At 44.6% G+C, this 27,507-nt stretch overlaps 1 protein-coding gene across 10 annotated transcripts, besides 7 other annotated features; it reads left to right on the top strand.

Moving 5' to 3' along the window:
* Positions 460-979: an enhancer, noted in NCBI's record as "H3K27ac hESC enhancer chr16:75656973-75657492 (GRCh37/hg19 assembly coordinates)". NCBI's record gives its function as "activates a minimal SCP1, AML or CMV promoter by ChIP-STARR-seq in naive H9 embryonic stem cells {active_cell/tissue: H9 hESC(naive)}" and the evidence as "EXISTENCE:reporter gene assay evidence [ECO:0000049][PMID:30033119]".
* Positions 460-1,499: a biological region, named in NCBI's record as "H3K27ac hESC enhancers GRCh37_chr16:75656453-75656972 and GRCh37_chr16:75656973-75657492".
* Positions 773-27,186, top strand: ADAT1 (adenosine deaminase tRNA specific 1). Of its 10 annotated transcripts, none has more exons than NM_012091.5 (11): positions 773-816; positions 1,590-1,651; positions 3,234-3,423; positions 3,720-3,788; positions 5,414-5,468; positions 6,782-6,912; positions 11,193-11,811; positions 15,066-15,211; positions 15,731-15,830; positions 20,883-20,969; positions 23,706-27,186. In NM_012091.5, the coding sequence occupies exons 3-11, from the start codon at positions 3,255-3,257 to the stop codon at positions 23,836-23,838; spliced, it is 1,509 nt and encodes a 502-aa protein (NP_036223.2). In that variant the 5' UTR covers positions 773-816; positions 1,590-1,651; positions 3,234-3,254; the 3' UTR covers positions 23,839-27,186. The 10 variants fall into 10 exon arrangements, with proteins under 10 accessions (NP_036223.2, NP_001311373.1, NP_001311375.1 ...); NM_001324444.2 differs by having other exon boundaries at positions 5,356-5,468; NM_001324446.2 differs by lacking the exon at positions 1,590-1,651 and adding an exon at positions 4,311-4,422 and having other exon boundaries at positions 773-1,557.
* Positions 859-1,098: an enhancer, noted in NCBI's record as "active region_11143". NCBI's record gives its function as "activates an Ori minimal core promoter by ATAC-STARR-seq in GM12878 lymphoblastoid cells {active_cell/tissue: GM12878}" and the evidence as "EXISTENCE:reporter gene assay evidence [ECO:0000049][PMID:35858748]".
* Positions 980-1,499: an enhancer, noted in NCBI's record as "H3K27ac hESC enhancer chr16:75656453-75656972 (GRCh37/hg19 assembly coordinates)". NCBI's record gives its function as "activates a minimal SCP1, AML or CMV promoter by ChIP-STARR-seq in naive H9 embryonic stem cells {active_cell/tissue: H9 hESC(naive)}" and the evidence as "EXISTENCE:reporter gene assay evidence [ECO:0000049][PMID:30033119]".
* Positions 1,500-2,019: an enhancer, noted in NCBI's record as "H3K27ac-H3K4me1 hESC enhancer chr16:75655933-75656452 (GRCh37/hg19 assembly coordinates)". NCBI's record gives its function as "activates a minimal SCP1, AML or CMV promoter by ChIP-STARR-seq in naive H9 embryonic stem cells {active_cell/tissue: H9 hESC(naive)}" and the evidence as "EXISTENCE:reporter gene assay evidence [ECO:0000049][PMID:30033119]".
* Positions 2,020-2,540: an enhancer, noted in NCBI's record as "H3K27ac-H3K4me1 hESC enhancer chr16:75655412-75655932 (GRCh37/hg19 assembly coordinates)". NCBI's record gives its function as "activates a minimal SCP1, AML or CMV promoter by ChIP-STARR-seq in naive H9 embryonic stem cells {active_cell/tissue: H9 hESC(naive)}" and the evidence as "EXISTENCE:reporter gene assay evidence [ECO:0000049][PMID:30033119]".
* Positions 2,609-2,903: a silencer, noted in NCBI's record as "tiled region #14871; HepG2 Repressive non-DNase unmatched - State 8:EnhW". NCBI's record gives its function as "represses a minimal TATA promoter and a strong SV40 promoter by Sharpr-MPRA in HepG2 cells {active_cell/tissue: HepG2}" and the evidence as "EXISTENCE:reporter gene assay evidence [ECO:0000049][PMID:27701403]".

The raw sequence follows: 27,507 nt of genomic DNA, 5'->3' as shown, positions 1-27,507 counted from the left end.
GTTGAGGCGGGCGGATCACTTGAGGTCAGGAGTTCGAGACCAGCCTGGTAACATGGCGAAACCCCGTCTCTACTAAAAATAACAAAAATGAGCCGGGTGTGATGGCGGGCGCCTGTAATCCCAGCTACTTGGGAGGCTGAGGCAGGAGAATCGCTTGAAGCCAGGAGACGGAGGTTGCAGTGCGCCGAAATTGCGCCGCTTCCAGCCTGGGCGACAAAGCGAGACTCCATCTCAAAAAATTTTTTGATTATATGTTGAAATAATACTATTTGGGATGTATGGGTTAAATAAAATATATATGATTGTTTCTATTTTGACTTTTAATGAGGCTACTGGAAATTTTTAAATTACGTATATGGTTCGAATTATATATCTATTGGACAGTGATGTTACAGATAGAAATACAGCATAGTCAGGAGAATCGCTTGAACCGGGAGGCGAAGGTTGCAGTGAGCCGAGATCGCGCCTCTACACTCCAGCCTGAGCAACAGAGCAAGACTCCGTCTCAAAAAAAAAAAAGAAAAAGAAAAAAATTCAGCCGAGTGCTGCAAGATACGTCATTCTAGTTGAAGGAATATCTAAGCCAACAAGCGGCTCCCATCATCCGGTTTCACGCCTCTCTAAGACGCAGCCAGGGCTGCGGGACTTGAAGCGCGGGAATCTCGGCCCTGGCACCGACTCCCCGGAAAAACTACAGGGCCCGGCATGCACTGCGCGCCTCTGGGAGCGGGAGCCGAAAGGAACCGGCGCTTTGTGACGTCACGTCCGCCTTACCGGCGGATTAAGCTCGCTTTCTTCTAGGCGCGTTTCCTGAAGGTGGGAGGGGAGCGTCCGCGAGGCGCTGGGGCGACGGGGCAGGTTTATCCGGGCTAACTTTGCCGAGTCTGTTTTTGAGGGAAGAGGTTGTGAGGATCGTATCTTCCGGGACGCGTTTCACGTGGGAAGGCGCTCCACGCCTGGAACTGTCAGCAGCCGGCGCCTGAAGAGCTCCTGGCGCGGGGCCTCTGGCCTGGCAGCCGCAGGACCCAATGGATCAGGCGCTCACGCTGTTCTCACTGCATGGCTTCAGTGCCTTGCCTGGCACCTCCTATCCTGTAACTGGCCGACTCGGGGTCCCACCCAGGCTTCTCCAGCGGCCGGGAAGGGGCTCTGCTTCCGGAAGTGTTTAGGAAGGGAGCCAGCGTAAACCAGAGTCCCTTCCTCCAAGCATCGCTGAAGCCTTTTCTCCCCTGGCAGCCGACTTCCTTTTCTTTGGAAAGGACGTCAGTTTTTTTAGCTTGTTGAAACTGTTCAGAGATGCGGTCTTGTGGGCAAATAAATGCCTGTTTAGCTGAGCTGTTATTTTCAGCTAAGAAGTTCTTCAAGTTTTCAAGATCTAGGAGGGGGTGTAGGCTCGAATTATAATGGACCCAGTGTAGCAAAACATTTATTCATTTAAACAATTGTGCATGCTCATTCAGACGCACTACCTGAGTGAGATGATGCCGTTCTGGGCTGCTTCATCTTAAAGAGAGTCACTGTTTCTTCTGGCAACTTCTACCTGCCTTGCCTATCGAGGTTTGTGAATTGCACCTCTGGTTTAATTTCAGGTCGATGGCCAGGTGGTCTTCATAAACTATACTGCCTTGTGATGCCTCCCTAGAAATGAGAGGTGAGTCCCTTCCAAACGAGGATTCTAGGATCTCATGCTTTCTTTTCTTGACAAGGCTTGCCCTGGCCCTCTGACTTTCAAGTCACAGGGTCTCACTTCCTGCAGATTTTTGTTTTAAATCACTGTGGTCTGATTTACCAGTAGCATTCACTACAGTAGCGAGCCTGCACGTTGCGCTGCAGGGGATTCATAACAATACCATCTTTCAAAAGCTGCATGCACTGGAGCTCAGGAAAGCCTTTTTTGTTTTTTTGAGAGGGAGTCTCGCTCTGTCACCCAGCCTGGAGTGCAGTGGCACAATCTCGGCTCATTGCGACCTCCGCCTCCCGGGTTCAAGCGATTCTCCTGCCTCAGCCTCCCGAGTAGCTGGGACTACAGGCACGCGCCATCACGCCCGGCTAATTTTTTTGTATTTTCAGTAGAGACAGGGTTTCACCACGTTGGCCAGGCTGGCCTCGAACTCCTGACCTCAGGTGAGCCACCGCGCCCGGCCTTCAGTTTGGTTTTACAGTGCTTAGCTATGTCTATCACAAGCTCATCTTCTACTGGGAAGCTTTTTGTATAATTGAGTCCAAATGAGATCAGGATGTGCCTAGTGAGCATTGATAGGGCCAAGAGTGAGAGATTTCCCTGCAAAGTATCCTAGGGATCTGCTTGATGGTTTTTTAATTCATGGCTTTCTATGCCCATTACAGCCCTCCCCCTTTCACCCCCACCACCAGGTAGCTCAAGGCAAATTAACCAGGAAAATCATCAAATGTTATTTTTTGTAATAGTAATCACAGTTGACCTTAATTATGCTCAACATAGTAGCAATTGCTTTTTATAAGTATTACTTATTTAACCCTCACAGTAACCCTAAGTATTATTTAATCTTCACAATAATCTAAATAGGTTAGATACTATTGTTATCACTATTTTGACAGATGAGGAAACAGACCCAGCAAGGTTAAGTAGTCTATTCAGCATCACAGTTAATTTGTGGCAAAGCCAAAATTAGAACCCAGAAAGGGTGAATCCAAAGTCCACACCCTTAAGTAGAGCTCTATGAGAACACGTAACTGCTGAGAAACATTTCAGTGGGGATTTACTAGAGGGCGGTAGAGAAACACTCTGCTGTAGGGGAAAGGAGAAAAATAAAATGCCTGGAAAAAGAAGACAGATAAGAACATCTGTCCAGAAAGATAAACCTTATACAGTGAGGGTCTGCCCAAAGCAAGTGAGTCTGCAACCCTTTACATGCCGTTTCCAGTGAAAACTGGAGTAGTGAGGACATTTCCTTCTCGTGTCCTTTAATGTTGAGTAGAGGATGCAGACTCCTTAGAAATGTATCAGATATATAACATTAAGAAAAACTTGAAACAATAATTTTGGGGATTGGTAGAATTTGGGGTTTCTTTGATCTTTCATTAAAGATGAAAAGGGGGCAGGGAGATAGTAGAAGAAAATGATCCATAGAGTTCCAGATAGGGAAACCTCGGTCTGCTCCATTTGAAAGACTCGAAGCATGGATATGAGAGGCTGTAGCATCGTGCACTGGTTCTCCTTTCCGTACTTCTGATGGTTGTGGTTTTTGATCAAGGTCTCAATACCAGCTCAGACCATGTGGACCGCGGATGAGATTGCTCAGCTATGCTATGAACACTATGGGATCAGGCTGCCCAAGAAGGGGAAGCCTGAGCCAAACCATGAGTGGACATTATTGGCAGCGGTGGTGAAGATACAATCTCCAGCTGACAAGGCCTGCGACACCCCTGATAAGCCGGTGCAAGGTGAGACTTTTTCTTCTTGGCATGCTCCTCACTGTGAGAGATGGTAAAATTATGCATTGCTGTACTGTGAGGGTACAGTCGTGGGTAGGGTGTGAACTACGATGTTAGGCATATGTGCTTGTCCTCTGCTAGGTGACGCAGTACCTCTGATGGCGGGAGACCGCCATGCTGGAACCGCAGACCTTGGTTGAGTGGGCCTCTGGGAATCCCCTAGAGGAGTGTGCAGGCTGATCACACCTGAACACCGGGGAACATTCCGTTTCTCAGAACTCACACGATTTGTTTTTTTCCCACAGTGACAAAGGAAGTTGTGTCAATGGGAACAGGAACAAAATGCATAGGACAGTCCAAAATGAGGAAGAACGGTAAGCACGGGTGGGAATCTAAACAAAGATTTAGCTTGAAACCAGTGTCCATGTTTTACTCTCCTTGTCAGGGAAGAGGGGCCATGTCAGTTGAGGTGCATGGCATTTGTTTCCTACTGACTATCAGTCCAGTTGGAAGGACCGTACTCACTTGGAGAATGGAAATCCACCATCAAAGCGGAGGCCTCTAGGAACATGCTTTCCGAATAACTGAAAGTTAACCAGTATTTTCATGCTCAAACCACAGAGTCCCTGGGTTTAGCTATTCCACATTAGGTCTGGAAGGCTTTGGGACTCTATAGCAGGTAGAGGATGCAGCTTGAGTGGCTTCTGAAGCCCAAGAAAGCAATCTTTTTTTTTTTTTTTTTTTTTGACTCGGAGTCTCGCTCTGTCACCCAGGCTGGAGTGCAATGGGGCAATCTCGATTCACTGCTCTGCAACCTCCCCTTCCTGGGTTTAAGCGATTCTCCTGCCTCAGCAGGCACCCACCATCACGCCCAGCTAATTTTTGTATTTTTTTAGAGACGGGGTTTCACCATGCTGGCCAAGCTAGTCTTGAACTCCTGACCTCAGGTGATCTGCCCACATTGGCCTCCCAAAGTGCTGGGATTAAAGGTGTGAGCCACCGCACCTGGTAAGCAATCTTGAATGACAGGAAGCTTTGGGCCTCAACAAGAATATGAAAATTCCTTAGAGATCTGGGGGTTTTTATTTGTCTGTTTCAGTGGTTTTTTTTTTTTTAAGAGACAGGGTCTCACTGAAGTACGGTGGTACTATCATAGCTCACTGCAGCCTTGAACTCCTGGGCTCAAGTGATCCTCCCACTTCAGCTTCCTGAGTAGCTGGACTATAGGTGTGCACAGCTATGCACACCTATGTGCAGCTAATTTTTTTCATTTTTATTTTGTAGAGATTTGGTCTCACTGTGTTAGCCAGGCTGGTCTCAAACTCCCAGCCTCAAGCTATCCTCCTGCCTTGGCCTCCCAAAGTGCTGGGATTACAGGCATGAGCTATTGCGTCCCTGGCCGAGATCTGGGGTCTTTACCTCTTCTAGCTAGCAGGTTCCTCTTTGAGTTGGCTTCTACCATTCTCCTTGCCTTAACCTCCTGTATATGAGGAACCTGTTCCAGGATCACTGTGGATTGGATTAGATGGAATTGTACCACCATGAGCACAAGTAGGATACTTCTGTACAAAAGATCTAGACCTTTGTTCTCCGAATGAGGTTTTTCTATAAATTAATGTTTCTCACCTGGGGGTGATTTGCATCCCAGAGGACATTTCGCAATGTCTAGAGACATTTTTAGTTGTCACAACTGAGGGAGGGGTGCTAGTGTCATCTCATGGGTAGAGGCCAGGAATACTACTAATAAACAGTCTACAGTGTATGGATGGAATAGATCCCCCACAACAAAAAATTTTCTGGCCCAAAATGTCTACAGTGCTGGGTTGAGAAACCCTGCACCTGATGCATTGTTATTCATGATTGTGGTACCTTCTGGCAAAGCTCTCCAGGAGCTACATGACCATCCTGGGTGCTGGTGGGACTGCTGTGTTCTGCTTCTAGGAACCAGACCCTCTCCAGCTTCCATATGTCTTCACCTGGTGTCCTATCTTTGCCGCAGGAGACATCCTCAATGATAGCCATGCTGAGGTCATAGCCAGAAGGAGTTTCCAAAGGTAAAGCCACATCTCCAGAGTATGGTTCAGCAGGACTGGGGTGGGAGTCCCGGAATTTACTTTTTTTTTTTTTTTTGGGGGGGACAGAGTCTTGCTCTGTTGCCCAGGCTGGAGTGCAGTGGCATGATCTCAGCTCACTGCAACCTCCGCCTGCTGGGTTCAAGCAATTCTCCTGCCTCAGCCTCCCAAGTAGCTGAGACTACAGGCCCGTGCCACCATGCTCAACTAATTTTTTGTGTTTTTAGTAGAGATGGGGTTTCACCATGCTGGCCAGGCTGGTTTTAAACTCCTGACCTCATTATCCACACGCCTCAGTCTCTCAAAGTGCTGGGATTACAGGTGTGAGCCACCGCGCCTCACCCAGAATTTACATTTCTAATAAGCTCCTAGGTAATACAGATGATATTAGTCTGTAAACTACACTTTTGAGTAGTAATGTGGTCTAGACTAGTGGTTCTCTCTTTTTTTTTTTTTTTTTTTTTTTTTTGGACACAGGGTCTTGCTCTGTTACCTAGGCTAGAGTGCAGTGATGTGATCTCAGCTCATTGCAGCCTTGGCCTCCTGGGACTCAAGCAAGCCTCCCACCTCAGCCTCCTGAATAGCTGGGGTTACAGGCGCATGCCACCACACCCAGCTAACTTTTCCTGGGTTTTTTTTTTTTTTTAAAGACAGGGTGTCACTATGCTACCCAGGCTGGTGTTGGATTCCTGGGGCTCAAGCGATCCTCCTGCCTCAGCCTCCTAAAGTGCCGGATTTACAGGCATGAGTCACAATCCTGGCCTGGACTAGTGGTACTCAAACTTGATTGTACATCAGAAGAACCTAGAAGGCTTGTTAAAACCCAGATTGCTGAGCCCACCACAGAGATTCTGATTCAGCATATCTAGGGTGGAACCTCAGAAATTGGGTTTCTTCTTTCTTTTTTATTTTTCTAAAAAAAAAAAAAGAAACAAAAATAGAGTCTCACTCTGTCACCCAAGCTGAAGTACAGTGGCAGAATCATAGCTCACTACAGCCTCAAACTCCTGGGCTTAAGCAGTCTTCCTGCCTCAGTCTCCCAAGTAGCTGGGGTTACAGATATGAGCCACCGAGGCCAGTTGAAATTGGAGGTCTAACAAATTCCCAGGTGATGCTGATGCTGCTGGTACAGGGACCACACTTTGAGAATCACTGGTCTAGAGCATTCTCATAATTCCCCATCACTACCAGTCCCATTAGTCTACAGTAAGCTGTCTTAGTAATCACCCAACCAGAGGCTTTCCCCTTACCACAGAGATCGGTTGTTCATCCTAATAACATCTTGCAACCCTTAGGTACCTTCTCCACCAACTCCAGTTGGCAGCCACCCTGAAAGAGGATAGCATCTTTGTCCCAGGAACTCAAAAAGGAGTGTGGAAACTTAGACGAGACCTCATTTTTGTGTTTTTCTCCAGCCATACACCCTGTAAGTATATTCAAGCCTTTGGATTAATGTTACATGAACTACTTCCTTATGTTTGTGTTATCCATAGGTAGGTTTTTTCCTAAAAAGCACTAATGGCTGAAGTAGCCACAGGTAGTCACAAGTAGCCACAAGTAGTGACAGTGCCTTTTTATGACAGGCTAGTGTACCTAATCACTTCTAAAGGTTTCATCTAAAGAGAAGACAGAGGCAAGGGGTGCAGAGTCTCACTCATACTATTAGTCAATTCTCAGAATCAGGATTAGGAGCGTAAGGCTGAAACCTCACAAGATGTGAAGCCAACATGGGGCTTGGAAATCCTATAGTGACTTATCCTAAAACTCATTTCGTTCATTTAGTCATTGAACAAATACTTTCTACTATTTGTCAGGCACGATATGACATACTGAGTATACAGAAATGAATAAGACTAGCATATTGCTTACCTTCATAGTCTTTTAGGAAATGTAGACAGTCATGGTTAGTTAGGGTAAATTTTGGTGGGTTATAAGGGTATGTTCAGGTGCTATGGTTGCATAAGACAGGAAGACCTAGCCTGGGGTGAAGGGGGTGTCATTTCCGTCTTTTGTTTTTCTTTCTTAAAAATTGAAAATAACTTCTACCTTTTGTGGATAACAACTCAGGATGGCAGCAAAATTTTCTCACCCTAAAACCTTTGAAATAAGGATATAAGATTAAACCTTAAAACTTTTAAGCTTTAAAGCTAACACATGCAATTAGAGCAGAGATAAGAAATCACTATGAAGAAATAGAATAGCTGTGTAGATTTGATCATAACTCAAATTGAAAATATAGATACAGCTTAAGAAAGAATGAGGCCAGGCACGGTGGCTCACACCTGTAATGCCAGGACTTTGGGAGTCCGAGGCGGGCAGATCACTTGAGGTCGAGAGTTCCAGACCAGCCTGACCAACATGGAGAAACCCCATTTCTACTAAATATACAAAATTAGCTGGGCATGGTGGTGCATGCCTGTAATCCCAGCTACTCGGGAGGCTGAGGCAGGAGAATCATTTGAACCCGGGAGGCAGAAGTTGCAGTGAGCCGAGATTGCGCCGTTGCACTCCAGCCTGGATGACCCGGCAAGACTCAGTCAAAAAGAAGGGAAAAAAAAAAAAAGAGAGAGAAGAAAGAAAGAGTATGAGAAAAGAGTTTTAAGAGTCAAAGCCCAGAAAAATGACAGGTAGGCAGCACTCATCCTTGCTCTTTTCTTAGCCGTAAGGGCCCTAGTCCAAGGCCCAAAGGTTGTTTCCTAATCAGCTCCTCTCAAGCTGTAATATGCACATGAATCTCCTGAAGAACATGCAGATTGAGATTCATTAGGTCTGGAGTGGGGCCTGAGGTTCTGCATTTCTAGCCAACTCCCAAGGCATGCCAGCAGTGTGGGTCCATAGACCACACATTGAGTAGCTAGGACCGGGGTGATCCCAGTGACAGCTATAGCCTTATTGTGGAGAAAGAAGCATCTGAGGATCACAGCCTGATGGCCTAATCCAAACTTGTCTAACCCACGGCCTGCCTGGCTACATGCAGCCCAGGACAGCTTTGAATGTGGCCCAAGACAAATTCTTAAACTTTCTTAAAACATTATGAGATTTTTCTTGCGATTTTTTTTTTTTTTTTTTTTTTTTTTTTTTTTTTTTAGCTCATCAACTATCGTTTGCGTTCGTGTATTTTGTGTGTGGCCCAAGACAATTTTTATTCTTCCAATGTGGCCCAGGGAAGCCAAAATACTGGACACTTATGTAGTTTGATTATGCCCTTATCAAACTCCTTAAGTCAGTGGTCAACAAACAGGTACTGATCTGTGAGAACAGTCCCTGAAAAAAACCAAGAAAGCTCAAGACTATGTAGTGAATTTTGCAAAACTAATTTCTTTCACTTTAAAGGAAATGAGAGTTTTTTTTTAAGTGATGGCGATTGAATTTTTTTTTTTTTTCTCGATCTCGGCTCATTGCAATCTCCACCTCCCGGGTCCAGGCGATTCTCCTGCCTTGGCCTCCCAAGTAGGTGGGAATATAGGCATGCGCCACCACGCCCGGCTAATTTTTTTGTATTTTTAGTAGAAACAGGGTTTCACCACATTGGCCAGGCTGGTCTCGAACTCCTGACCTCAAGTGATTCGCCCACCTCGGCCTCCCAAAGTGCTGAGATTACAGGCATGAACCACTGCGCCTGGCCGGTAATTGAGATTTTTAAAGATCTTCCTTGATGGAATAAAAAGTTGGCAACCCTCTGTTCATCTTAAAAATCTTCAGGAAATTTTGCTGGTAATCTTTTAAAATGTGATGTCCTCCCATGGTTTGTCTGCAGAGAGAGAGAACATTACCTAGAGAATGTGCCTCTCTGGCTCCCTTGGTATTTACATCCTATGAGTAATTAATAATTTGTTGGCTGGGTTAGCTACTTCAGGCTCTTATGAGTTTTATTAGCATGAGTCAGGCTCTTGCATTCAGGCATTCTGTCAAGATCCAATTTCCAAGCCTGCAGAGTGGGAGATGGACCCTGGTGAGTTCTCCAAAGTCACTGTGACCTTGTGAGGTCTCTGGAAGTCAGCCAGCCAACCTCTCCAGATGTATTCCCACTTCTGTATCTCTTGCCTTTCCCACTCTTGAGTTATAAAGATTACAGATGTATTATTTATACACTTTAGAAAAGCAACACTCATCAGGTTAGTGTTTGAAGAAATCTTTCGCTTCTCAAGGGAGAGCTGTGGTTCTTACTGACCTCTAGTTTTCTTCTGTTTCCTGTAAGGACAGAGGAGGTCAGAAATCTCTAAACCAGCAAGAGGAAACACTGGAAATTTTGGAAACATTGGTTTAGACTAGGTGTGTAATTTACTTTAGAGTCTTTACTGTGGGGCCATGCATCATAAAATCTCCAAGATGGGGAAATTCTGAGCAATGGTTGCCAAATTTCTTTTCCTTTTTTTTTGAGATGGAATCTCCCTCTGTCACCCAGGCTGGAGTGCAGTGGCGCATTCTTGGCTCACTGCAACCTCCACCTCCTGGATTCAAGCGATTGTTCTGCCTTAGCCTCCCGAGTAGCTGGGACTACAGGTGCGCGCCACCACACCCGGCTAATTTTTGTATTCTTAGTAGAGACAGGGTTTCACCATATTGGCCAGGCTGGTCTCGAACTCCTCACCTCGTGATCCGCCCACCTCGGCCTCCCAAAGTGCTGGGATTACAGGCATGAGCCACCGCACCCTGCCTGCCAAATTTCTTTATGAAATAAACCACCCACTTTTGTTTTCCAAAGCATCTTAGGGAATAGCATTTCACAAAATGCACTTGGGAAACCTTGTTCATTCTAAGCCAGTGGTTCTCAGTTTGGAAAGTTTTGCTCCCCAGGAGACTTTTGGCAACATCTGGAGACATTCTTTATTTTCATACTGGGACTGGTAGTCCTATTGGCATTTAGTAGGTAGAGACCAGGTATGCTGCTAAATATTCCGTAATGTACAGGACAGCCGCCACAGCAAACAGTGATACAGTCCAAAGTGTCATTAGTGGCCGGGCACGCTGGCTCACACCTGTAATCCCAGCACTTTGGGAGGCCAAGGTGGGCGGATCACTCGAGGTCAGGAGTCACTTGAGGTCAAGACCAGCCTGGCCAACATGGTGAAACCTCGTCTCTACTAAAAATACAAACATTAGCCAGTCGTGGTGATGTGTGCATGTAATTCCAGCTACTCGGGAGGCTGAAGCAGGAGAATGACTTGAACCCAGGAGGTAGAGATTGCAGTGAGCAGAGATCACCCCACTGCACTCCAGCCTGGGCAACAGAGCCAGACTGCATGTCAAAAAAATGTCATTAGTACCGTGGTTGAGAAACCCTGGTCTAAACCCATTTTTCCAAAAATTCCTAGTGATAAAAATTAGCTCAGATCTTTGTTAAAATATTCCATTTTGCATGCCCTTCTCCAGAAATTCCAACTCACTGGGTCCAGGATAGAGTCTTCAACAAGAGCCCTAGAGGATTCTTATTAGGGAATTGTGTGCATGTGCTCTTAACTCATCTCAGGTCAGCTGGGAGAATAGATGAAGTCAGTAGTTCTCAAACTTGAGCTTGCATCAGAATCACCTGGAGAGCTTGTTAAAAACACACTGCTGGGCTCTGCCTCCGGAGTTTCTGATTCAGCAGGTCTACTGTGGGTCCCAAGAGTTTGCATTTCTGATGAATTCCCAAGAGATCCCATTGTGGCTGGTCCAGGGACCTCACTTGAGAACCATTTGTTTAAGTGGGTTCATTCTCTGCAGGTGGGGATGCCTCCATCATTCCGATGCTTGAGTTTGAAGATCAGCCTTGCTGTCCTGTCTTCAGAAATTGGGCCCACAACTCATCAGTAGAAGCCAGTAGTAACCTGGAAGCTCCTGGAAATGAAAGAAAATGTGAAGACCCTGACAGTCCTGTAACCAAAAAGATGAGGCTTGAGCCTGGGACTGCAGCCAGGGAGGTCACCAACGGAGCAGCTCACCATCAGAGTTTTGGCAAGCAGAAAAGTGGCCCAATCTCACCAGGCATCCACAGCTGTGATCTCACTGTAGAGGGACTGGCTACTGTCACCAGAATAGCCCCTGGTAGTGCCAAAGTGATAGACGTTTATAGAACTGGAGCCAAGTGTGTACCTGGAGAAGCTGGAGACTCCGGAAAGCCGGGTGCTGCGTTTCACCAGGTGGGGCTGCTCCGAGTGAAGCCAGGCCGTGGAGACAGAACACGCTCCATGTCCTGTAGTGACAAGATGGCCCGATGGAACGTCCTCGGATGCCAAGGGGCACTGTTGATGCACTTGCTGGAAGAGCCCATCTACCTGTCAGCTGTGGTCATTGGGAAGTGCCCATACAGCCAGGAAGCCATGCAGAGAGCACTGATTGGAAGGTGAGAGGGTAGGGAGGGCTCAATTGGAACAGTCATTCCAAGAGGCAGTCTGAGGGTAAGGCCTAAGAGCATTAAGAATCTCCATACCTTTTGATCCAGCAGTTCCACTTCCAGGAATTTGTCTTAAGGAAATAATTAAAGTATTTGAACATTTAGCTTTGTATATAATTTTTTTTTGTTTTTTAGAGACGGAGTCTTGCTCTGTCACCCAGGCTGGGGTGCAATGGCGTGCTCTGGGCTCACTGCAGCCACCGCCTCCTGGGTTCAAGTGATTCTCCTGCCTCAGCTTCATGAGTAGCTGGGACTACAGGCATGCGCCACCACGCCTGGCTAATTTTTGTATTTTTAGTAGAGACGGGGTTTCACCATGTTGGTCAGGCTGGTCTCAAACTCCTGACCTCAGGTGATCCACCCACCTCGGTCTCCCAAAGTGCTGGGATTACAGGTGTGAGCCACCGCGCCCGGCTAATAATTTTTTTAAAGAAGAAAAGTAAACAACTGAAATGCCCAGTAATAGGAAATTAAGTGTTTTCTTTGTTGTTAAAAATAGTATTGATGAATGGCTGGGCATGGTGGCTCACGACTGTAATCCCAGCACTTTGGGAGGTCGAGGGGGGCGGATTGCTTGAGCACAGAAGTTCTAGACCAGCCTAGGTAACATGAGGAAACCCCGTCTTTACAAAAAATACAAAAACTAGCCAGATGTGGCACGCACCTGTAGTCCTAGAATAGGGCAGCTGAGGCAGGAGGATCACCTGACCCTGGGAAGATTGAGGCTGCAGTGAACCAAGGTCATTCCACTGCACTCCAGCCTGGGTGACAGACCCTGTCTCAAATAAAATAATAATATTTATGAATATTTAATATGGAAACATGTCTATACTGTTTAAAGAACAGTTTAGAAGATAAAAAGCCAATTTTGGTCTTAAAGTACATCCACACATAAGAAAAATTATAAGAGGATGAGCGCTAAGGTATTATTAATAATCTCTGAGTTGTATTATGGGTGGTTTTTTTCTTCTTTGTTTTTAATATATTTTCTGATTTTTCTACAGTGCACATACATTGCCATTATATATGTTTTTTAACCCTAAACATTAGTTTGGGGCTTTCAGAATGTTTTTGTAGTGACAAGGTTTCACTGGGTCTCACCCAGACTGGAGTGCAGTGGTACAATCATAGTTTACTACAGCCTCCAGTTCCTGAGCTCAAGTGATCCTCCTGCCTCAGCCTCCTGAATAGCTAAGATTACAGGCATAAGCCACCACACTTGGCTGATTTTTAAATTTTTTTTGTGGAGACGGGGTGTTATTGGGTTACCCAGGCTGGTCTTGAACTCCTGGCCTTAAGTAATTCTCCCACCTTGGCCTGCCACAGTGTTGGGATTATAGGTGTGAGCCACCTCACCCAGCCCTAAACATTAGTTTTAATTTTTTTAAAGTTAAAAGTCAAAAGATGACCACTCAAGTGTGGTCTCCCTAAAGGAGGCAGCCAAACTCAGTGCTATAGGAAATGAGGGCAGGGCAAAGCCATGGCCAGGGCAAGCCTCATAGGCCCATATCAAATGTGAAGCCTCAAGATATGGTCCAGCAATTCCACTCCTAGGTACAACCCAAAATAAATGAAAACATACATTCACACAAGTAGGCCAAGTACAGTAGCTCATGCCTGTAATCCTAGCATCTTGGGAGGCCATGTCACGCAGATTGCTTGAGTCCAGGAGTTCAAGACCAACCTGGTCAACATGAGGAAACCCTGTCTCTACAAAAAATACAAAACTCAGCCAGGTGTGGTGGCACACACTTGTAGTCCCATCTGCATGGGGAGCTGATGTGGGAGGATCACCAGAGCCACGGGATGTTGAGGCTGCAGTGAACCGTGATTTCACCACTGCACTCCATCCTAGACAACAGAGTGAAACCCTGTCTCCAAAAAAAAAAAAAAGTGTATATGTATATAACAAAAACCTGTACATAAATGTTCACAACAGCATTATTCATAATAAACAAAAAGACAAATGTCCATTAGTGGATGAATGGATAAATCAAATGTGATATATCCATACAATGGACTATGATTCAGCTATAAAAACGACTGAAGTACTATTACATGCTGCAGCATGGATGAACTTGAAAATATAATGCTAAGTGAAAGAAATCACATATTGTATAATTTTATTTGTGTAATATCTAGAACAGGCAAATCCATAAAGACAGATAATAGCTTAGTAGTTACCACAGGCTAGGTGCTGTGGCTCATGCCTGTAATGCCAGCACTTTGGGAGGCTGGAGTGGGAGGATCGCTTGAGCCAAGGAGTTCAAGACCAGCCTAGGCAATATGGCAAAATCCCATCTCTACAAAAAATTTAAAAATTAGTCGGACATGATGGTGCATGCCTGTAGTCTCAGCTACTTGGGAGGTGGAGGTGGGAGGATCGCTTGAGACCAGGGGGCAGAAGTTGCAGTGAGCCGAGATCATGTGACTGCACTCCAGTCTGAGCAACAGAGACCCTATCTCAAAAAAACAAAAAATTTAAGTGGTTACCAGGGAATAGAGAGTGAATGCTAATAGGTACGAGGTTTCTTTCTGGGGTGATGAAAATTCCTTAAATTACATTACCATGATAGTTGTACAGTTCTATGAATATACTAAAAACAATTGAATTATCCACTTTAAATGAGTACATTTTATGGTATGTGAACTATATCCCTATAAAGATGTTGGTTTTTTGTTTTTTTTTAAAAAAGCCAACCCTAGGCACTGTGCCTGGGATGTTTTCTGTTTTTCCTATTCTGGTACTTGCAGTTGCTATCTGCTTCATTCTAGACCAGCATCATGTTGGCATCTAGTTTGTTCAAAGATACAAGAGAAAAAAATGAAGCTTTTATATTATAGGATAATTTTGGGTTTTGGTGTGTTTGAAGGATTCCCTAGGAAGCAGGTGCCAACACATTAATGTTTCTGCTTAAACTTTTCAAGTTTCTCAAAGCCTATATCAGGAATGGAGTTTGGTGTTACATCCCTGAAGGGTGTTGACTTGATTCTTAGTTATCCCTGCAGATTGAGGGAGAAGGATCTTCTTCCAGCCATGAGGTGCTTACAATCTTGATTCTATTCTGAAACACTGTCTGCCCAAATAAATAAACAAATCCCCACACCTGCTAAGGCTCAGGGGTGATGATGTGAGCCACAATCCTAGATACTGTTTTCTCTAGGCATGCACCTAAACTGAATGCATTTTCCCTTGTATTTAGGTGTCAGAATGTGTCTGCTTTACCAAAAGGCTTCGGAGTTCAAGAATTAAAAATACTGCAGTCAGATTTACTATTTGAACAGAGCCGCAGTGCGGTGCAGGCAAAAAGGGCTGATAGCCCAGGTCGACTTGTTCCTTGTGGGGCAGGTAAGAGATCCAGGTTAGACCTGCCCTGGAGTAACTGCTCCCCTGACTGAGAGTGGCCCCAGAGGGTCGGCATCCTCCCAGCCTAGGAAGGTAGTTCACCACTCTAGTGGCCGGTAGTGTGGGCTTTAGAGACACCCATAGTGGGTCACGTTTATGCTCTTGTGACCCCCGGCATGTTATTTACCCTCCCTTGGCCTCAATTTCTTTGTCTTCAGATTAGAAGAATATCATTTATCAGGGTTATTGGGAAGATTCAGTGAGAAATTCTGTTTAATGCATTTACTCTGTGCCCAGCAAATAATAAATGCTCAGTGATTGTTAGCTATCATAATAATAATGAATTATGAACCACTTAGACTACTGTACCCTGGAGGCCAAGCATCCAATAGCAGTCATTGTCTGTGACATCATATCCAGCTCTCATGGGTCTGTAGAGTCAGAGAAATATTTTTATTAAAATACTTCTGACTTTCACAAGAAATTGAGCAGTTTTAACCCTAGAATCTTATCTTTTCATAGCCATCAGCTGGAGTGCAGTTCCTGAGCAGCCTTTGGATGTTACTGCCAATGGCTTTCCACAGGGAACAACAAAGAAAACAATTGGAAGCCTTCAGGCAAGGTACAGCATATTGGGGCAGGAGGAGATGGTGGCTGTGAACTCACACTCTACCACTATCTAATTCTAGAACATTTTTATTACCCCAAAAAGAACAACCATACCCATTAGCAGTCACTACCTATCCCTCCCTCTCCTCATCCCTTGGAAACCTCTAATTTACTTAATTTACTTCCTGTCTCCGTGGATTTGTCTAGTCTGGACATTTTCTATCATTGGAATCCTACAGTATATGACCTTTTGTATCTGGCTTCTTTCACTTAGCATAGTGTTTTGGAGGTACATCCTGAGGTAGCTGTATCAGTACTTCATTACTATTCATGACTTGAATAATATCCCATTGTGTGGATATACCACATTTTGTTTGCCATTCGTTCATGAATGGACGTTTGGGTTGTTTCACTCTTTGGCTATTGTGAATAGTGCTGCTGTGTAGAACTATGAACATTTCATGTACCACTTTTTGCATGGCCATATGTTTTCAATTTTCTTGGGTATACCTAGGAGTAGTGTTACTGGGTCATATGGTAATTGTTATGTTTAACTTTTTTGAGGAACTGCTAAACTGTTTTCCATAGCAGCTGTACCATTTTACGTTCTACCAACAATGTATTAGAGTTCCAATTATCCTGAATCCTTTACAACACTTGTTATTGTCTTTTTTATTGTAGTCATTCTAGTGGGTATGAAATGGTATCTCATTACAGTCTTTTTTTTTTTTTTTTGAGATAGAGTCTTGCTCTGTCACCTGGGCTGGAGTTCAGTGGCGTAATCTTGGCTCACTGCAACCTCCGCCCCTGGGGTTCAAGCGATTCTCCTGCCTCAGCCTTCCTAGTAGCTGGGACTGTAGGCATGTTCTACCACACCGGCTAATTCTTGTATTTTTAGTAGAGAGGGGTTTCGCCATGTTGGCCAGGCTGGTCTCAAACTCCTGACCTCAAGTGATCCACCCGCCTCAACCTCCCAAAATGCTGGGATTACAGGTGAGAGCCATCTCACCCGGCCTCATTACAGTTTTTATTTGCATTTACATTTCCCTAATGACAAACGGTGTTGAGCATCTTTTTATGTACTTATTAGCCATTTATCTCTCTACAGCCTCGCAAGTAGCTGGGACTACAGATGCCCGCCACCACGCCCAGCTAATTTTTTTTTGCATTTTTAGTAGAGACGGGGTTTCACTATGTTGGCCAGGCTGGTCTTGAATTCCTGACCTTGTGATCTGCCCACCTCAGCCTCCCAAAGTACTGGAATTACAGGCGTGAGCCACCATGTGCTGCCTATAACTGGTAGTTTTTGAGTGTTCACTTATTGAGGTCTTCTTACATATATTTCAGCAAGTTTTATAGCTTTATATAAATCTTTCACATCTTGTATTAGATTTATTCCTTAAATGTATGTTAGTTATCTGTTTCTATGTAACAGATTACCCCCAAAATAACAGCTTAAAACAACAATATACATTTATTATTTCACATAGTTATGTGGGTCTGGAATTGAGGAGCTTAGCTAAGTAATTAGCTTAGCTCAGCAATTTATGAAATTGCAGTCCATTATGGCAGCCAGGGCTGCAGTCATCTGAAGACTTGACGGGGGCTCAAGGATCCTGTTCCAAAATGGTTACCTTGCATGGCTGACAGATCAGTGTCAGCTGTTGGCAGGAGGCTTCAGTTCCTTATAACAAGGACCTCTCCACAAGGCTACCAGAGTATTCAGCTTCACGACTCAGTGGCTGGCTCCCCACAGAACAGGCAATCCAAGAAAGCAAAGCAGAAGCCACAGTGTCTTTTATGACCTAGCCTCAGAAGCCAGAGCCTATCTGTAATATCTTAATGGTTATTCAGATCAGCCCTATTACGTATGGGAGGGGATTGCTAAGGGGCATGAATACCAGGAGGCAAGAATCACTGGGGACCATTCTGGAGTTTGGCTATCACAGATGCTATTTTAGATAGCTTTTTATCCCGTTTTCTGGTTATTACTGTTGCAATTAAGCTTTTGTTCCTCTTTGTGGCAATTACTGTTGGTTGCTAGATAAAAACACTAACCTTACCATTATCACTAGAATAATAATTGTACTCCTATAATCCCAGCACTTCGGGAGGCTGAGGTGGAGGATTGCTTGAAGCCAGGAGTTCGAGACCAGCCTGGGCAACAAAATGAGACCCCCCCCCCAATCTCTAAAAAACAAACAACAGCAACAACAACAAAAACCCAAAAGAATGATAATTCTAATTAGTCTGGGAATGCTTTTGGGATTTGGGGATTTTTTTTTTTTTTTTTTTTTTTGAGACAGAGTTTCACCCTTACCGCCCAGGCTGGAGTACAGTAGCACGATCTTGGCTCACTGCAACCTCTGCCTCCCAGGTTCAAGCAGTTCTCCTGCCTCAGCCTCCCGAGTAGCTGGGATTACAGGCGCCTGCCATCTCACCCAGCTATTTTTTTGTATTTTTAGTAGAGACGGGATTTTGCCATGTTGGGCAGGCTGGTCTTGAACTCCTGACCTCAGGTGATCCACCCGCCTCAGCCTCCCAAAGTGCTGGGATTACAGATATAAGCCACCACACCCAGCCTTTTTCGGGATTTTTTAAATGTAGATCATCATATACAAATACAGCTGACTTTTCAACAATGTGGGTGTTAGTGGTGCCGACCCACCTTGCAGTCAAAAATCTGCATATAACTTTTGGCTCTGCAAAAACATCAAGCCTATTGTTGACCAGAAGCCTTGACATAAACAATTAACACGTATTATGTATGTTATGTGTATTATATACATATTCTTAAAATAAAGCAAACTAAAAAAAGAAAATGTTATTAAGAAAATCATAAGGAATAGGCCAGGTGCTGTGGCTCACGTCTGTAATCCCAGCACTTTGGGAGGCCGAGGCAGGCAGATAACCTGAGGTCAGGAGTTCAAGACCAGTGTGGCCAACATGGCGAAACCGTCTCTACTAAAAATACAAAAATTAGCTGGGCGTGATGGTACGTGCCTGTAATCCCAGCTACTTGGGAGGCCAAGGCAGGAGAATTGCTTGAACATAGGAGGCAGAGGTTGCAGTGAGCCGAGATCACGCCACTGCACTCCAGCCTGGGCCACAGAATGAGACTCCATTTCAAAAACAAAAAAGAGAAAAGAAAATCATAAGGAATAGAAAATACATTTATTCATTAAGTGGAAGTGGATCATCATAAAGGTCTTTATCCTCATGATCTTCATGTTGAGTAGGCTGAGGAGGAGGAGAAGAAGAAGAGGGTTTGGTCTTGCTAGTTGCAGAGGCAGAAGAAAATCTATGTGTAAGTGGACCCACACAGTTCAAACCTGTGTTGTCCAAGGGTTAACTGTAGTGTTTCTTTCCAGCCTTCTGTTCCTTTTATTTCTCTTACTGTGTTGACTAGAACTGACAATATCAAAATCATCTGCAGATGATGACTTGGTTTTTGTTTTTCACTTTTCTTTCTTTTCTGTCCTGCTGGCCAGAACCTTCTGTATAATGTTGAATAAAAGCGGTGATAGCAAGTCCCCCTTGTCCTATTCCTGATTTTAAGGACATATATTTGCTATAGGTTTTTTATAGTTGCGCTTTATAAATTTAAGTACTCTTCCCGAGTCCTAGTTTGCCAAAAGGTTTTTAATCAAAGGATGTTGAATTCTACCAAATGCTTTCTTTGCGTATATTTTCCCCATAATTATATATATGTATATATGTGTGTGTGTGTGTGTGTGTGTGTGTGTGTGTGTGTGTGTGTGTATATATATATATATATATTTTTTTTTTTTTTTTTTTTTTTTTGAGACAGAATCTCACTCTGTCACCCAGGCTGGAGGGCACTGGGACAGTCTTGGCTCACTGCAACCTCTGCCTCCTGGGTTCAAGTGATTCTCGTGCTTCAGCCTCCTGAGTAGCTGGGATTACAGGCATGCGCCACCACTCCCAGCTAGTTTTTGTATTTTTAGTAGAGATGGGGTTTCACCATGTTAGCCAGGCTGGTCTCGAACTCCTGACCTCAGGTGATCTGCTCATTCACCTCAGCCTCCCAAAGTGCTGGGATTACAGGCATGAGCCACTGTGTTTGGCCATCCCTAATTACATTGTTCTTCTTTAATTTGTTCATGAGAGTTCCATTAATTTTTGCTTTGTTTTCATGCTAAAGTGGCCTCATCTTCCTGAGTGCCAGCAGCCACTCCAGCTAAGGCCCTGGGAGAGCAGTGTCTGAGTGCTCAGGGTTCCCCTTTAAGCAGCAATTCCTGAAGTAGGCTAGGTTCCAGCCAGGTAAGGGAGATTTTGGACAGACTCCATAATTCCCTATTTTACATGTAGCAGTGATGGTCACTGTGTCCAAGCTGAGGGTGTGATCTGCTAGGATGATGCAGAGTGTGGTGTGTAAAAGTGAGACTGCACATTGTTGGTATACACAGCATTTCCCAATTTCTAGATGCAGCTCATGAATTGTATACATGAGGGAAAAGAAGGCAACCACGAAGGTCTGGGTGGGCTTATAAAGTAGTCAACACTCACCTCCTTAAGTATTCCAAACCATGACCTCCACCCAGAATTTTGTTGTTTAGGAGCAAACGCTTGTTCTCCAAAGGCCTGTGATGCCCATGGCAGGAGTCCAGGGATTCTGCCTCAGGTGGCTCGTCCAAGTGGATTTTATAATGACAGTTCACACAGGGAACAGCACTCAGATCTCTGAAACAAAGCTTTCCATTTCTTGTAAACCCATAGGGGCCAGCACCCTTGAAAGGATTTAGCCAGAAGTGTCTTACAGATATCCTGGGGCAAAATTTCGTAATTGCACCTCAGGGTACCCGTTTGGGCTTGTTACTTTAATGATCCCATGGCTGATGGCATTTCTTAAGGTTAGACTCGTTTTTATACCTCAACCTAATCAGACATCCAGGTCTGGATTTTCTCCTCACCAAGTACAGGTGAAAATGAGGGGCTCTGGCACCTTCAAACCTAAAAACCACATGAAGCCTGGCATCTTTGATAGGGGCTTAGAACATACTAAACACTTAATAAATCATCTTTGCCTTCTTTTTCCAAACAGATCCCAAATCAGCAAAGTGGAACTCTTCAGATCATTCCAGAAGCTGCTAAGCAGAATTGCAAGGGACAAGTGGCCACACTCCCTCAGGTGATGCTGTTGACCTATGTTTTCTCATATTTAGGTAGACAACTGTTTTGATTCTGGCTTCTGAGTAGCAAGAAGCTTTGGCAGGAGTGGTGGTTCAGCAAGCCAGTGGCACTTATTGTTGACCACAAGTTCTTCTTTCCCCATAGCCCTATTTGCAGATACGTGCATGATCTGAGATGCAGAGGATGGGTAGTTTGGTGGTATAGAGTTATAAAAAACTAAGGATAGAACTGGGGCTTGGCCATTCCAGGCCCTCCTTTGATTCCACCTCTAGATGGAGATCACTGTGGAAATGGGAGTGCTCTAAGAGCAATATATTCTGTTACAAGTGTTACTCCTCTTTTCCTTTTGAACTTGCAGCTCCATGACTTAAATTGCTCTTCAAACAAAAATTCAAAGAACTTTAAAACCACTCTTGGGAACAGGTAGATGGGTGCAGTGACATTCTGACAGTGACCACCTAGATTTAGGTGAAGTTTCACAGGTGAAGGACACAGTTCCCACTAAACTGTCTTCATTTCAAACAACTACCACAAGTTAAGGAAAGCCCCAAACCACCCATACTTCTGACCAACTGGCTACAAATTTGAGTGTCTCCACTCCCCTTCACGTTCAGTCATTCACTAGAACATCTCTCAGAACTCAGAAAAGCACTATAGTTGCCATTAAAGTTTTATTATGAAGGCTACAGATCAGTACTAGCCAAAAGGAGAGAGATATAGGGTAAGATATGGGAGGGTCGCAAAGGCAGAGCTTCCATGTCCTCAGGACATATCACCTTCCCAGCACATTGCTGCGCATCACCAACTAGGAATCTCACTCAGACATCAGTGTCCAAAGTTTTTGTTGGAGTTTCATTAACTATTATGACTGATTGAATTATTGGCCACATGATGTGATTGAACTTAATCTCCAACCTCCTCCTCTCCCAAGAGTTCAAACTGATATCACGTGTCTCAGAGCCCTAATTCTCTACATGGTTGGTCTTTCTGGCATGGCCGGTATCATCCTGAAACTATCTCGGGGGCCCACCATGAGTCACCTGGTTAAACAGAAACTCACGTGTGATCAGCGAGATCTACCATGCAGGACAAAGACACTTGCAGAAACTCCAAAGCTTAGAGGCTCCCGGGAACTGGTGACAAAGACCAAGTGAATCCTTCATTATATGACAGTGGGGAAACTAAGGAGTAGCTAGAAACTTCTATATGAAGAGGCATCGCCATCATGCATACTGAAGTGATGGATCTGTGGTCAGTTGGCTTCTTTCTTGGGTTTCCATATATTCTATATGTCAAATCTGAATTTAGGTGAGGAGATACTTCTAAGGCAGAGTTTTGCTCCTGTTAACCAGGCTGGAGTGCAGTGGCACAATTTCAGCTCACTGCAGCCTCCGCCTCCCAGGTTCAAGTGATTTTCCTGCCTCAGTCTCCAGAGTAGCTAGGATTACAGGCACCCGCCACCACGCCCGGCTAATTTTTGGTATAGTTAGTAGGGACGGGGTTTCACCATATTGACCAGGCTGGTCTTGAACTACTGACCTCGGGCGATCCACCTGCCTCAGCCTCCCAAAGTGCCAGGATTACAGGCGTGAGCCACCGCCTGGCATGTATGTATGTTTGTTTGTTTGTTTGTTTTTGAGACAGGGTAGCTGAGACAATTAAGGGAAGTGTTGCATGTGACCAAGAGCCTGGTTTGTAGTAGGGTTTTGATAACTAGTAGTTACTGTATTTTTTTTTTTTTGAGACAGTGTCTTGCTCTGTCGCCCAGTCTGTGTAGTACAGTGGCACAATCGTAGCTTACAGGAACCTCCGCTTCCTGGGTTCAAGTGATTCTCCTGCCTCAGCCTCCCAGGTAGCTGGGACTACAGGTGCCTGCCACCACGCCCGGCTAATTTTGTATTTTTAGTAGAGATGGGGTTTCACCATGTTGGCCAGGCTGGTCTCAAACTCCTGACCTCAGGTGATCCGCCTGCTTCGGCCTCCCAAAGTGCTGGGGTTACAGGTGTGAGCCACCATGCCTGGCCTAGAAAACTTTTAAACCAAAAAAGTAGACAGTTGTTTTTATTTTATCTGATTCCACTAGGACCATAGAAACCTAGAATTCTGTTCATTCTTAACTGTTTTAATTCATGTTGCTTTCTCGTGAATTCCCTACAAAGGAGACAGAGTTGCTCTAGGAAAGTGTCAAAAGTCAAAATAAAAATGTAAAGATAAATCTCTAAATTTAATATTTTATTTGGGATACAAGAAATTCAAGACATACAGACTGGGTGGTCTTCAATATGTCTGAAGAACAAAGGGAAGGTTAGAGGTTTTATTTTTCAAAAAAGAAATGTAACATATTGTTGAAGAAGGTTCATTGACATGAGTAAAGTGAGGAGCTGCCAAGTGATGGCACTGGGTAAAACTATTCTTAAAGTCTGCAGCAGGTTGGTTCAGTAGCTGTTAGATAAAACTGGCAGGCAGTTTTAGCAGCCAGGCTTGCAGAGAATGCATTCTTGGAGCAATGTTATGCGCCCTGAGTGTTTTTTACCCCTGGCTTCTCAACTCTGTTTCAGTTGAGTATGACAAGAATAACGTAGTTTGTATGATCAACTTTCACAAAAGCATACTGAACTCCTTCTCTACCTAAGTCTCATTACAAGTCTGTCCAGTTGCTTGCTCAGGTGTCTGGTGGCCCCTGGGGTGGGCTATTCAATGAGAACCTGTGTATTTGGTGGCCTGTGTGCATTAGGGTGCAGAAGCTGGATACCTACCAGGAGTACAAGGAGGCTGCGTCCTCTTACCAGGAAGCCTGGAGCACACTCCGGAAGCAGGTGTTTGGATCCTGGATCAGAAACCCACCGGATTATCACCAGTTCAAGTGAGAAGGAAATGTTTGCTCTGGTAGCAGGACCCTTCATCCTGAACTGCCTTCCTCCACGCAGGACAAGTCTTAGCTTTTTTGGTAGTTAAATCAGGGAACATTCTTTCTGAGCTTTGCATCTCTGTTGTGTAATACAGATGGAATCTGGAACTTAGAGCAAGCTATACTTGATTGAAGTAGCTCTCTGCTAAAATGGCATCTCACTAATGACCTCACTATCTGACTTCCATTGTGTTTTATTGCTTCTCTAAAATATGAAATCAGAGTTTGGAACATGATGCTTTGAAAGTACTCTGCAGCAGCTCTGTTTTATGGGTTCCTACATTGATTCAGCAAATATTTATTGAGCTGAAATGATGTTTGACGCTCTGCAAGTTTTACAGCTTTGCCTAGCATAGCGAATATATATTTTGTATTCCCAGCCTTTCTTTCTTCAGGGAGCCATTCTTTTCCCATTCTTCAGTGATCCTGCTCTGTGCCTCAGACTTGGCTGAAGCTAACCTTACTCCCTGGCTCTAGGAATAGCCTGTGAGCCAGCCCTGGACTGCCCTGGACTTGTTCTCAGAGGTATCAGGAAAGGCTTTCTGTTTTGATCTGGAGCTGTAAGGGTCACATAATCATGGGACTGCCGGTGGCCATCTTTTCCTACTACCTAGAGAAAGCCAGCAAAGAATGAAGGCAACAAAGGAAACAGCCAAGAGAATCAAAGATCTAGTAACACTGTTTAGATGTCTCAATTATGTGAGACAGATTCCTGTTGTTATTTTGATTAAGCCTGTTTGTGTTGGTTTTCTGACTTACAATTGAAAGAGTTCTGTCCAAAAAGCCAAAAGGTGGCCAGGCTTGGTGGCTCAGGCCTGTAATCCCAGCACTTTGGGAAGCCCAGGCAGGCAGATCACTTGAGGTCAGGAGTTCAAGACCAGCCTGGCCAACCTGGTGAAACCCTGTCTCTACTAAAAATGCAAAAACTAGCCGGGCATGGTGGCGCACACCTGTAATCCTAGCTACTCGGGAGGCTGAGGCAGGAGAATTGCTTGAACCCAGGAGGCGGAGGTAGTGGTGAGCAAAGATCGTACCGCTGCACTCCAGCCTGGGTGATAGAGCAAGACCCTATCTCAAAAAAAAAAAAAAAAAAAAAAAAAGAAGCCAAAAGGCCCTGCAGCAAATCAGCAATAGACCCAGCAGCCAATCCTGTTTTAACATCGAATGTTTAACACTCAACTTCAGACCTTGAATGATTGACTGAAAATGGAAGCTCCCATGTTGGGGTTACTCAAGGTCCTTATTGGTTCTTCAGCATTTTGTGGCTATAAATATTTTTAAATAACAGTTGTATTGAGATATAATTCACAGACCATAAAATTCACCCAACTAAAGTATACATTTTAAAAGTTTTTAGGCCGGGCACGGTGGCTTACGCCTGTAATTCCAACACTTTGGGAGGCTGAGGCAGGCAGATCACCTGAGGTCAGGAGTTCGAGACCAGTCTGGCCAACATGATGAAACCCCGTCTCTGCTAAAAATACAAAAATTAGCCGGGCATGGTGGTGCACGCCTGTAGTCCCAGCTACTTGGGAGGCTGAGGCAGGAGAATCACTTGAACCTGGGAGGCGGAGGTTGCAGTGAGTCAAGATCATGCCATTGCACTCCAGCCTGGGTGACAGAGTGAGATCCTGTCTCAAAAAAAAAAAAAAAAAATTTTTTTAGTATATCCACAGAGTTGTGCAACCATCAATTTTAGAACATTTTCATCACAAATTTTGTGCCTGTAATAGTTTCCTAGAGCTGTTTCTTAACGAAGTACCACAAGCTGGGTGGCTTAAGACAACAGAAATGTATTCCTGGCCGGGTGCAGTGGCTCACGCCTGTAATCCCAACACTTTAGGAGGCCGAGGTGGGCAGATCACGACGTCAGGAGATCAAGACCATCCTGGCCAACATGGTGAAGCCCCTTTCTACTAAAAATACAAAAATTAGCCAGGTGTATTGGCGCACGCCTATAGTCCCAACTACTCAGGAGGCTGAGGCAGAAGAATCTCTCAAACCCAGGAGGTGGAGGTTGCAGTGAGCCAGGATCGTGCCACTGCACTCTAGCCTGGGTGACAGAGCAAGACTCCATCTCAAAAAATAAGAAGAAAAGACTGTATCCCCTTTCAGTTCTGGAGGCTAGAAGTCCAAACAGGTTGTTGGTGGGGCTTCTGCTTCCTCTAAAAGCTTTAGGGCAGGGGCCCCCAGCCCCAGAGCCACAGACCATTACTTGTCTGTGGCCTGTCAGGAACAAGGTCACACAGCAGGAGATAAGTAACAGGTGAGCACTTGAAGTTTCATCTGTATTTATGGCTGCCCCCCATCGCTCACATTTCTGCCGTAGCTCCTCCTCCTGTCATACCAGCAGTGGCATTAGATTCTCATAGGAGCGTGAATCCTATTGTGAACTGTGCATGCAAGGGATCTAGGTTGCACACTCCTTATGAGAATATAATGCCTGATGATCTGTCAGTGTCTTCCATAACCCCCATATGGGACTGTCTAGTTGCAGGAAAACAAGCTCAGGGCTCCTACTGATTCTACCTTATGGTGAGTTGTATAATTATTTCATCATGTATTACGATGTAATAATAATAGAAATACAGTGCACAGTAAATGTAATTCACTTCAGTCATCCCGAAACTATCCCCCTATCCCCACCCCGGATCTGTGGAAAAATTATCTTCCATGAAACCAGTCCCTGGTGCCAAAAAGGTTGGGGACTGCTGCTCTAAGGAAGACTTTTTCGTGCCTTGGGGACTGCTGCTCTGAAGAAGACTCTTTCATGCTTCCTCCTTAGCTTCTGATGGCTCCTGGCAGTCCTTGGCTTGTGGCTGCATCACTTCAGTTTCTCCCTCCGTCTTCACATGGCCTTCTGTGTCTGTGTCTCGCATGGCCTTCTTCCCTGTGTCTGTGTCTTTCCATGGCCTACTTATAAGGACCCCAGTAATTGGATTTAGGGCCTGCCCTAATCCAGTCTGATTTCATCTTAACTAACTAGATCTGCAAAGACTCTATTTCCAACTAAAGTCACATTCTGAGGTTTCAGGTAGACATGAAGTTTTGGGGGACACCACTCAACCCATTGCAGAACCCATTAGCAGTCACTTCCCGTTCCTCAACGCCCCCTACCCCAGGGCAATCAGTAATCTACTTTCTGTCTGTTTGGATTTGTCTATTCTGAACATTTCATATAAATGGAATCATAGAATATGTGGTCTTTTGTGACTGGCTTCTTTCACTTAACATGTTTTCAAGATTTATGTTGTAGCATGAATCAGTACTTTATTACTATTTATGGAATAAAAATCAGTTGTATGGATATAAATGTTTTGTTTATCCAGTCATAAGTTGTTGGACATATGGGTTGTTTTCACTTTTTGGGTCTTGTACATAGGGTTTCTATGAACATTTGTGTACAAGTTTTTGTGTGAACATATATTCTTTTTTTTTTTTTTTTTTTTTTTTTTTTTTTTTAGATGGAGTCTTGCTCTGTTGCCCAGGCTGGAGTACAGTGGCACAATCTTGGCTCACTGCAAGCTCTGGATTCACGCCATTCTCCTGCCTCAGCCTCCCGAGTAGCTGGGACTACAGGTGCCCGCCACCACGCCCAGCTAATTTTTTGTATTTTTTGTAGAGACGG

The sequence above is a fragment of the Homo sapiens genome, chromosome 16 (genome assembly GCF_000001405.40).
Source record: "Homo sapiens chromosome 16, GRCh38.p14 Primary Assembly".
NCBI classification, from domain to species: Eukaryota; Metazoa; Chordata; class Mammalia; order Primates; family Hominidae; genus Homo; species Homo sapiens.
Note: the sequence above shows the minus strand (reverse complement) of the source record. Positions and strands in the feature narration are given on the sequence as shown.

Excerpts from the sequence above, each read along its gene's own strand:
- ADAT1 (NM_012091.5), top strand. The coding sequence starts at position 3,255 with ATGTGGACCGCGGATGAGATTGCTCAGCTATGCTATGAACACTATGGG. Across the intron at positions 15,212-15,730 it reads ACTTGTTCCTTGTGGGGCAG|CCATCAGCTGGAGTGCAGTT; the intron begins GTAAGAGATCCA and ends ATCTTTTCATAG. Across the intron at positions 15,831-20,882 it reads ATTGGAAGCCTTCAGGCAAG|ATCCCAAATCAGCAAAGTGG; the intron begins GTACAGCATATT and ends TTTTCCAAACAG.